The following is a 12,376-nucleotide window of genomic DNA, read 5'->3' as shown; positions in this document are numbered from 1 at the left end:
CTGTGTGGGTCCACTCATACGTGGCTTTTTTTCCAACCAAATATAGATTACAAATACAGTATTTGTGGGATGCAAAACCCAACATATACAGAGGACCCACTTTTCATATACAAGTTCCACAGGGCCAACTACAGGACTTGACTATGTGCAGATTTTGGCATATGTGTATGAAGGGGTGGTCCTGGAACTAATCCCTATGTATACCAAGGAATGACTGTATACAGACTCATGAACCAAAGAACAAACTTCTCCTAATTTTAATTGAAAAGATTCCAGCAATGTGCATAATTTTAATATGTACTGAAAAGACTATCTGTTTTGGTGGCTCCAAGTTCTTAGTTTGAGATTGAGTTTTAATAAAGGATTAAAACTTTATCTTTGAACAAAAGAGTTTCAGTAAGTAAAGCCATTCTGTAAGTTGCAAGAAGAGATGTTTTTAATCTACTACCTAGGAAAAAATAATTTATTGAGAAATCTCAGAATTTCAAAATAAATGTCAATATTAAGCAGTATCTCTCTCATTTTTACAACTTATTAGCAAATAATCACATTTATGTGCTATGAACTATTAAAGTAAGATTATATAGTATAAAATAATAATTAGGAGAATATTTTTCATTAATGCAGGTAGACACATTCTTATTACTTCTAGACATACACAAACATTTAAAACATTTAATATTATCTTCAGTTTTGTATGGAAAGCCATCATTCAAAAAAATTTAAAACTCATAAGCATTATAATTAAGAAAGAAAAAGAAATGATAAAAAAGGTTACTTTAAAAGAAACAATAAATGTGAGAGAAGTAAAAATAAGTAAGATAGGAAAAAATAGAAAACACAAAGATAAAGTTTTAATCCTTTATTAAAACTCAATCTCAAACTAAGAACTTGGAGCCACCAAAACAGATAGTCTTTTCAGTACATATTAAAATTATGCACACTGCTGGAATCTTTTCAATTAAAATTAGGAGAAGTTTGTTCTTTGGTTCATGAGTCTGTATACAGTCATTCCTTGGTATACATAGGGATTAGTTCCAGGACCACCCCTTCACACACATATGCCAAAATCTGCACATAGTCAAGTCCTGTAGTTGGCCCTGTGGAACTTGTATATGAAAAGTGGGTCCTCTGTATATGTTGGGTTTTGCATCTCACAAATACTGTATTTTTAATCTATATTTGGTTGGAAAAAAAGCCACATATGAGTGGACCCACACAGTTCAAACTCATGTTGTTCAAGTATCAACTGTATTTCCTCCCAAAAATGAAACATGTAAATCCAAATATATCATTAATTATATTAAAGAAATCATTTTAAATCACATTCAGACCTTTCTGTTCTTAACAAAAGACTACACTCAAGGGAAACTATTTTATCAGAGAGAATAACTAACACAGGCTTTATTATACAATATAGACCTGGGGGAAAGGAAATATCCAACTCCAGCTGCTTTCTACCCTTCAACACGGGGAAGGGAAATACCCAGTTTCAGCCCCCTATAAACCTCCTGTTCACCTAAGGGCCTGGGATGTTGGGGAGAAAAACATAGGAGTCTCCTGTGAAGTGTAGACTCCTGAGGCACAGGCTTACTAAAAGACTGAGACCTAATTAGAGGATTATAGATTGCTTCTCCTCCCATGACATCTTATCACCACATTAATCAGGCTCCTGCATAATAATAGCAGATTACAGCTAAAATATCTGCAAGCCTCAGACCCTATCTAAAAGGAAACCAGAAACAGCAGTTTGGTGGGGGGGGGCAAAAATAATGACAATATTTTAGAAAATTTTATCATTTGATACCTACAATTTCAGCAAACAGAAAACACAGCCTAACTGCTAGCTAGGTAACCATATTACACTAAATGCTTACATACCTCAGTTCCTATTGTCCAATACATTATGTCTAGATTTCAACAACAACAACAAAAATTTCAAGTCATGCTAAAAGTAAAAAAAAAAAACATAGTCTGAAGAGACAGTTTAAGCATGAGCATCAAACTCAGATATGGCAGAATTTTTCAAATTATCATACCAGAAATTTAAAATAATTATGTCTAAGATATTAAGACCACTGATAGAAAAAGTGGACAACACGTAATAAGAAATAGATAATGTAAGCAGGAAGCTAGAAAAACTAAGAAAAAAAGGAAATGTTAGAAATAAAAAACATTGTAACAGAAATTAAGAATGCCTTTGATGTTCTTATCAGTATACTGGACACAGTCAAAAAAGAATAAGTGAGCTTGAAAACGTGTCATTAGAAACTTCTAAAATTGAAAAGAGAAAAAATAATAAAATAAACAGAATACCGAGATCTTTGGGAAAATTACAAAAGGTATAATACGTACATAATGAGAGTAACAGAAGGAGAAAAAGCAAACAAGAAAAGAGAAATATTTGAAATAATAATGGCTAAGAATTTTCGAAAATTAATGGTAGACATCAAACCACAGATCCTAGATGCTCAGAGAACATAAAAAATGGTCAATAGCAAAAATGTCTAGACCTAATCATATGCTATACTCAAACTACAGAAAATCAAAGACAAAAAGAAAATCTTGAGAGATAAAAGAGGTGGGAAAAACTTAAAATATTTAAAATATTCAAGTGTTGAAGAAAAATACAACCAACTAGAACCTGTATCCAGACAAATAATCCTTCAAAACTTAAAGAGATATAAAAACATTCTCAGAAAAAAAATGACATAATTTGTTGCCAGTATCCTTGCATTGGAAGAAAATATTTTTAAACATTCTTCAGAGAGAAGGAATATAATACATGTCAGAAACACAGGTCTACATAAAGAGAGAAAAAATATTAGACAAGGAATAAAAGTAAAAAACTCCAGGAATGGTGGCTCTTGCCTGTAGTCCCAGCATTTTGGGAGGCTAAAGCAGATGGATTGCTTGAGCTCAGGAGTTCAAGATCAGCCTGGGCAACATGGCAAAGACCTAGCTCTACAAAAAATACAAAAATTAGCCAGGCATGGTGGCATGTGCCTGTAGTCCCAGGTACTTGGAGGCTGAGGTGGGAAGATCACTTGAGCCCAGGAGGTCGAGGCTGTAGTGAACTGTGATCACACCATGACACTCTAGACTAGGCAACAAAGCAAGGCCCTGTCAAAAAAAAAAAAAAAAAAAAAGTGAAAGAAACCATTTTATATTCTTTTCTCTTAATTGATCTAACAGATACAGACTATTCATAATAATAATGGTAACAATGTTCTCCATGATTATAGCTTATATATAAGTGAAATAAATGACAGGAATCTTATGAGTGACAAAAGGCAGGAAATGGGAATTCTCTGAAATCAGAATACCTGCATTATCCATGAAGCGATATAGTGATATTTAAAAGTGGACTTGGATATTCTATAAATGTACATTGTAAATTCTAAGGAAACCACTATACAAAATTTTAGGAAATGTAATTGATATCCTGAGAAAGGAGAAGATATAGGATCATATTAAATATGTAATTAAAGCCAGAGAAGGCAGGAAAGGTGTGGAAGGTGAAAAAGAAACAAAGAACTAGGACAATAAAGAGAAAATAGCTACAAATACGGTTGATATTGAAGCAAATATGTCAATAATCACTTTAAATGTGAATGGTCTAAATATATCAATTCAAAGACAGAGGCTGTCAGAGTAGGTGAATAAAAAAATCTGACTATATGGTGTCTACCAGAAATTGGCTTTAAATATATGAAAATGATAAGATTAAAAGTAAAGTAACAGAGTAAGATATACCATGCTAACTAATCAAAGCAAAGCTGGAGAAACTATATTAATTTGAGACAATGTGGACTTCAGAGCAAGAAAAATGATCAGAGACATGGAGGGACATTACACAGTGATAAAAAGGTCATTATTCAAGAAAACATAGTAATACTTAATAAGTATGCACCTAACAACAGAGCAATAAAATTCATGAGGCAAAAACAGATGGGACTGCAAAGAAAACAGACAAATTCATTATATTTGCAGCCTTCAGTACCATCTAACTGTAATTCACAGCTACAACAGGCTGAAAATCACTAAGAATATAGTTGAACTTAGCACATCACCAATCAACTGGATCTAATTGATGCTTATAGATTATTCCATTCAAAAACAGCAGAATACACATTCTTCTCAAGCTTCTGTGGAACACTCAGTAAGACAGATCTTATTCTGGGCTATAAGACAAACCTTAACAAATTTAAAAGAACAAAAGTCACACAAAGTACAGTGTCATTCCATAATACATTTAAACTATATTACCCTAATACCAAAAGTAGATAAAGGTACTATAAGAAAAAAACTACAAACCAACATCTCTCATGAATAAAGATGCAAAAATCCTCAACAAATTGTTAGCAAATTGAATTCAACAATGTATAAAAAGAATTATATGCCACAACCAAATGGGGTTTATCCCAGGTACGCAACATTCATGCAATATTCAAAAATCAATTAATGTAATCCACCACATCAACAGACTAAAGAAAAAATTATATGATCAATAAGAAATGAAGAAACATCATTTGGCAAAATCTAAAGCCCATTTATGATTTTTAAAAACTATCAGCAAACTAAGAATAGTAGGAAACTTCCTCAATTTCATAAAGAATATCTGCAAAAAACAAATACCTAATATCTTAATCATGAGAAAACAGATGCTTTTTTTTCTAAGATAAGGAATAAATCAAGGACATCATTTCTCACCACATGTATTCTACATTGTACTGGAAGTCCTAACTAATGCAGTAAGACAAGAAAAGAGAATAAAATAAATATAAAATGAGTAAAATTGTTTTTGCTCAACAACAGCAAAAATCTAATAGGTCATTATAGCAAGGTTGCTAGATACAAGGTTAATATACAAAAGTCAACTGCTTTCCTATATACCAGCAAAGAACAAGTGATATTTCAAATTAAACACACAATACTATTCACATTATCACCAAAAAAATGAGGTAATTATAAACCTAACAAAATATGTATAAGAGATATATAAAGAAAACTAAACAATGAGAACACATGGACACAGGAAGGGGAACATCACACTCTGGGGACTGTTGTGGGGTGGGGGGAGCGGGGAGGGATAGCATTGGGAGATATACCTAATGCTAGATGACGAGTTAGTGGGGGCAGCGCACCAGCATGTCACATGTATACATATGTAACTAACCTGCACATTGTGCACATGTACCCTAAAACTTAAAGTATAATAATAAACTAAAATTAAAAAAATATTAACCACAAAAAAAGGAAAACTAAAATACTCTGATTAAGGAAATCAAAGAATAAACAGATCTAAGATCTAAATGGAGCAATAGTCCATGTTAAAGAATAGGAAGTCTCAATATTGTTTGTTGTCAGTTCTTTTCAACTCAGTTCAATGCAATCGCAATCAAAATTCCCACAAGCCATTCTGTGGGAATCAAAATGGAATCAACAAACTGATTCTAATTTGAATGGAAAGGCAAAAGACCCAGAATAGTTAACACAATATTAAAGGAAAACAAAATCAAAGGATTGACACTACCCAACTTTAAAAATTCCTGTAGCCCTACAGAAATCAAGACAGTATGCTATTGATGAAACAATAGACAAATAGAGCAATTGGAACAGAAGAGAGATAAAAAGAATCACATAAATATAGTCAACAAATTTTTACAAAGAAGCAAAGGAAATTCAATAAAGGACTCTTTTCAACAAGTGATGTTGGAATAACTAGTCATCCACATGTAAACAAAAAATGAATATAACCAAAGACCTTACACCTTACCAAAAATGAACTCATAGTGGATCATAGATCTAAATATAAAATGCAAAAACTATAAAATTCCTAGAAGACACAAAGGAACAAGTGTAGGTGGCCTTAAATTTGGTGATGGCATTTTAGATACAACAAAAGCACAATCCATGAATAAAAAATTGATAAGTTGTACTTACTAAAATAAAAACATTCTGCTCTGTGAAAGACACTGTTAAGAAAATGAAAATAAAAGCCACCTGCAGGAAGAAAATATTTAGAAAACACATACCTGACACAATAAGAAAAAGAAATAAACCTATTACAACATGGGCAACAGAGCTGAAGAGATACCAAAAAAGATATATAGATGGCAAATAAACATAAAAAGATGTTCAACATATATGTCATTAAGGAATTGTAAATTAAATCAACAATGAGATGCCACTACATTGAGATGCCACTACATGCCACTACAAACCTATCAGAATGGCTAAAATCCAAAGCATTAAAAACACAAAAACTGGCAAGGAACATGGGAACTCTCACTCATTGCTGGTAGGAATGCAAAACACTACAGCAACTTTGAAGACAGTTTAACAATTTCTTACAAAGTTAAATATAGTATTACTATATGATACAGCAATCGTGCTCCTTGGTATTTACCTGTGTAAAAAATATATGTCCCTACAAAAGTTATGCAGTATCCAACAGGTACTAAGTTGTTTTGCACCTAATTAATGAAGAAATCGTTGGACTCTTTTTGTGGTTTAGGAGTATTGTGAAAAAATTACTGAAATCATATAGCACCAAGAGCCTCTGTCTAAACTGTTTACAAAAGACTGTGTAAATACTTATCACAAGAAAGCATATGTAGCTGTACAAATATCAGATAAACATTAAAACAAAATGCATTTTTTAAAATTTATTTTATTTTATTTTATTTTAACTTATTTTATTTAATTTTATTTGTTTTTTGGAGATGAAGCCTCACTCTGTCACCCAGGCTGGAGCGCAGTGGCACAATCTCAGCTCACTGCAACTTCCCACCTCCCTGGTTCAAGCAATTCTCCTGCCTCACCCTCCCAAGTAGCTGGGATTACAGGTGCATGCCACCACACCTGGCTAATTTTTTGTCTATTTTAATGGAGACGGGGTTTTACCATATTGCCCAGGCTGGTCTCGAACTCCTGAGCTCAGGCAATCTGCCCGCCTCAGCCTCCCAAAGTGCTAGGATTACAGGCATGAGCCACTGCGCCCAGCCTATTTATTTATTTTTAACTTTCATTTTAGGTTCGGGGGTATCTGTGAATGTTTGTTACATAGGTAAACTCATGTCATGGAGGTTTGTTGTACAGATTTTTCATCACCCAGGTATTAAGCCCAATACCCAATAGTTACCTTTTCTGCTCCTCTCCCTTCTCTCACCCTCCACCCTCAAGTAGACCCCAGTGTTTTTTGTTCCCTTTGTGTTCATGAGTTCTCATCATTTAACTCCTACTTATAAGTGAGAACATGCAGTATTTGGTTTTCTGTTCCTGCATTAGTTTGCTAAGTATAATGGCCTCCAGCTCCATCCATGTTCCTGCAAAGGACATGATCTTGTCCTGTTTTATGGCTGCATAGTAATCATAGTATTCCATGGTGTATATGTACCACATTTTCTTTATACAGATAATTTGTCATTGATGGGCATTTAGGCTGATTCCGTATCTTTGCTGTTGTGAATAGTGCTGCGATGAACATTCACATGCATGTATGTTTATGGTAGAATAATTTATATTCCTCTGGGTATATACCCAGTAATAGGATTGCTGTGTTGAATGGTAGTTCTGCTTTTAGCTCTCTGAAGAATCACCATACTGTTTTCCATAATGGTTGAACGAATTTACACTCCCACCAACAGTGTGTAAGTGTTCTCTTTTCTCCACAACTTCACCAACATGTGTTGTTTTTGACTTTTAAATAATAGCCATTCTGACTAGTGTGAGATGGTATCTCACTATGGTTTTGATTTGTATAAAACAAAATGCATTTTCAGAGATTAACAGACAGTCTCCATTTACCAGATAAAAAGTATAAATTTGCACACAATAAATAAATATTTTCCAAATATATAAACCAATTTGACAGAACTACCATAAGGCATAGAGAAATCCATAATCACAGTGGGAGAAATTAACATACTTATCTTAGTAATATAGAATAAACAGAAAAACCTCAATGAAAAAAGTAAGAACTGAACAGAATAAACATATTTGATCTAATAGATGTATACAAAAGACATATTGACTAAACAGTCACAAAGCTAAGAACAAAATTCTTCAGCTTACTCTAATTAAAAATACATCAATGATATTGAAAATTATCATACTACTTAGTGTTTCCATTTTGATAGCTCCAAATATCTTAGCTGGAGATTTGCTTTTTGAAAATGCAAATTTATCCTCAATTAAAAAAATCTCCATCTAATACCTCTTCCATTTTCTGAGCTACAAAAAAGATGCTTTTAATCCATTAAATAAACAAATTTATCAAAAAACCTCTGTAATTCAAAATACATATCAATTATCCAGCAATATTTTCTCTCATGTTTTGAAATAATATAACCAACTGCCACGTTGTTGAGACAGTGAGTTATAGACTGAGTATGTAAAGTGTAAAAATATAGGAGAACTTTTCAAGAAAATGGTTTCATAAGGTATTCATATTTTATAATCAAGTTAAATTTTTATAACAGATATGAGTAATAAAAAAGATAAAAACATATTAAAAATAAACTTTAAAAGGAGATTCAAAAACAGATCAGGCAAGAAATACAGAAAACATAAGTGATGGTATATTAACCCACAAAATATCAGTACTTACATTAAATATGAATGTGTTAAATGTTATGTTTTCAATTCAAAGTTTGCCACATTGGATTTAAAAAAGAACTATAATACATTTAACACATATAATACAGCTAAGCTATAATAATACAAAAAGGTTGAAAGTACAATGGTGAAAAATTGTGTTCTGCAAATACTAATATTAAAAAGATGCTATGTTAATATCTGACAGATTAATGGCAAAGAGAGTTGCTACAAAATGTCCATCATATCGTGGGTAATGCTACATGTAGGTGGGGGAAGGTGGTATATGAGAAATCTCTATCTTTCTTTCTACTGTGAACATAAGAATGCTCTAAAAATACAGTCTATTTTAAAAAATGTCCATCATAAAGACAAGAGTTTCAGCATTCTTAAGAAAATTTAACAATTTAAAATGTGTATGTATATAAAAAAAAGCTTTAGAAACATAGAACAAAAATTGGCAGAACTACAAAGAGATAGAGAAATAAGTAATCACAGTAGCAGAATTTAAAATACCTTTCTCATAAATGATAAAATAAACAGAACCTCAGTGAAGTTAAGAACACATGAAAAATATGATTAATCAACGACAATGGAGAATATACATGAATATACGCACATACATGTTTTCTTTATACACATGACATGTAAAAATCATATTTGTGATTGAACATATAAACTAAGGAGAGAACTTTAAAGTCATTACACAATATTCTTAATGATTATAATTACTTTGAAGTCTCACTTTTCTGCAAGTATTAAGTTTTGTAATATGAGATGGGCTTTTTAAAATTAAAACTTTATTTCATGTGAAAGATTTTCATCTGCTATTTCATCCATTTTCTCAGTTGCAAAAAGAAAGGCTTTTAACCCAATAAAAAGTGAAAAAAACTTTACTGTGAAGTCTCTGAATTATTAATATATAGAAAGGACCATTCAAAGTTTCCTATCAGTTTTGTTTTGTTTTTTTTGAGACGGAGTCTAACTCTGTTGCCCAGGCTGGAGTGCAGTGGCCGATTCAGCTCACTGCAACCTGCGCTTCACGGATTCAAGCAATTCTCCTGTCTCAGCCTCCCAAGTAGCCGGGACTACAGGCGCGTGCCACCATGCGCCGCTAATTTTTTGTATTTTTAGTAGATACGAGGTTTCATCGTGTTAGCCAGGATGGTCTCGATCTCCTGAACTTGTGATCAGCCCGCCTTGGCTTCCCAAAGTGCTGGGATTACAGGCTTGAGTCACCGTGCCCAGCCCTATCAGTTTTATAAGACTTTACACTAGACAATACAACTTAAATAAATGTCACACAATAAAACCTCTGACACATTTTCAAAATGAATCATGAAGGTAAATGCAAAAACCACCAGAGTACTTTTCCTGAAAGTATGTGGAGGCACTCTTATTACTTCATACATACACTTAGAAAGTTGAAATTAGACTTTATTTTACTAAGTGTATTCACATTTTAAAAAGTTTTTATAACATATGTGACACATTGAATAATTCAACTGATTAAAAGTAATTCCAAAATAAGGAAAGAAATAAAATAGAAAGTAATCTGAATCAGACAAAAAAAAACTGAAAAGCACCCTCACCCAAAATATTTAAATCCAAATATATCAGTAAGTACAATAATTGTAAATGGATTACATATTTTACATATTCTAGGAATAGACAAAGACAGACACATTGAACTGATAAACAATTCAACTATAAGTTCTTTATTAGAGATATGACTTAAAAAAATGCAAACACTAACCAAAATCACTCTGTAGTAATTATGTCAATGTCAGACAAAATAGACTTTTAGTCAAAAGACCTTACTAGAGACTGAGATGATCCCTTTCATAAAAATAAAAGGCAGAGTTCAAAGGAAAATCTAACTTTTTATTTGTATACATCTAATAACATAGACAGTATAAGGAAAATGGACAGTACTATAAGAAGAAATAGGTAAATCCACATAGTGGGATAATTTAATATACATCTCAATAATTGATAGAATAATCAAGATTCAAGGAAATCAAGAAATAAATGTAAATGACACAATAAAAAATGAGTTCAGTGGATGTCTGTAACATTGTAGCAGAATACATATCCATGAACAAAATTATGCTTAATTAAAATTTAACTAATGTAATTAAAAATAATTTAATAATATTATTTCCATATTTACTATGGAATCTCTTCTTTCTAGCAGCTCTAGTTGCAGGCAAAAGATTTTCATCTAATACCTCATCTTTTTCTGGACTACAAGAAGGAAGGCTCTTAAAAGCACTAGAGAACTGTATCTATGGTGGAACCTCCAGATTCACAATATATGTTAATTACTATATGTTAATGATATAAGCAAATCAGTGTCTAGTTAAAATATAAGCATATAAATACATCTTTTACTTGTGCATATAAAAGCTGTTCTGTTAATTTTTATATACATGGGTATTAAATATATTTTATTTGTAAACATTATTATTTTATTTACTACTATAAACATTATTACAAATACTTGTATATTTAAAATTTTTCCTTATTTTTTCTTATTATATTCACACTTTAGGTAAAGCTTAAAATTTTTGGTACCAAATATTGCTAAGGAAAAATGTATGATGATAAAAAATGGAGTAGACAGTGAAAGAAACATACCATGTAGGAGAAATAGGAGAAGCCAAGAAAAAAATGATATAATTGCACCTAAAAAATCAATAATTAGATTATATATGGTTATAAGAGATAATTAAAAGAAAAAATATCAGACTGAATATGAGCATATACCAAACATCACATGTTCTCTCTTATAAATGGGAGTTGAACAATGAGAACATATGGACATGTGGGGGACAACCTACACAGTGGCCTGTCTGGAGTGGGGGGCAAGAGGAGGGGCAGCATCAGGAAGAACAGCTAATGGGTGCTGGGCTTAATACCTGGATGATGGGTTGATCTGTGCAGCAAACCACAATGGCACACATTTACCTATGTAACAAACCTGCACACCCTGGACATGTACCCCAGAACTTAAAATTCAAGCTGATTTTAAAAAGAGTATATACAATTGTAAGTTTCTTACGATAGACATAGCAAAATCACAAAGAAACAAAGAAGTTAAACATAATATGATGAAAAAAACGTATCAAGCAAATACCAACTGGAAGAAAGTTTGTGGAGCCATAATAACAGATAAAGTAGTTATTAAGGAAAACAACAAAAATTATGAAAATGATGAAGTGAATCCTTTTATAAGGAAAAAACTGTTTTTTGAAGAATATAAAGTTTTGAAGAATATAAATTTAAAGTTTACTTGCACACACACACAAAAATAGAGCATTATAAGATATAAAGCAAAACCTGACACTAATACAAGAAGAAATAGAGAAATCCACAAAGTGGCAGATTTGACACATGCAACTGAGTAATTATAAAAGAAACAAGTTATCAATAAAGATCTGGTAGTGTGATGGAAATAATTAGCAGAAGAAGCATATGGTTGAAGGCATATTTATAAACCAAAAACAAATTTCTCCTGAATTTAATAAAAACAATTTATAAGATTTATAAATAATTACTTACTTTTTCTTGAAGTTACTTTAGCTTGAAGTTTCTTCGTTTGAGATTCGCTTCTTGATAATAAAACTTTCTCCTCAGGCAACAGATGTTCAAGTGATATATCCTTTTTTTTGATTTCTAAAGGAAACGCTAAATAGAAAAAAATAGATGTGCAATAGAACTTCTGGATATGCCAAGTAATCATCAGAATTTCAACCCATGGAAGTAAAATGAG

The 12,376-nt window shown here is 31.9% G+C and overlaps 1 protein-coding gene across 44 annotated transcripts in view; it reads right to left on the bottom strand.

Annotated features, from left to right (window-relative positions):
* CCDC7 (coiled-coil domain containing 7) overlaps positions 1 to 12,376 on the bottom strand; it is a 439,541-nt gene that overhangs the window by 141,242 nt on the left and 285,923 nt on the right. For 43 of the 44 annotated variants that reach the window (XM_047425743.1, XM_047425742.1, NM_001321115.2 and 40 more), the window contains one exon: positions 12,166 to 12,291. In XM_047425743.1, the coding sequence (XP_047281699.1) occupies positions 12,166 to 12,291 (126 nt within the window). Of the gene's footprint in view, positions 1 to 10,014; positions 12,292 to 12,376 lie in introns of those variants that run through there. The other variant, NM_001395233.1, reaches the window with a different exon arrangement.

This window comes from Homo sapiens, chromosome 10, assembly GCF_000001405.40.
Source record: "Homo sapiens chromosome 10, GRCh38.p14 Primary Assembly".
Lineage (NCBI taxonomy): Eukaryota > Metazoa > Chordata > Mammalia > Primates > Hominidae > Homo > Homo sapiens.
Note: the sequence above shows the minus strand (reverse complement) of the source record. Positions and strands in the feature narration are given on the sequence as shown.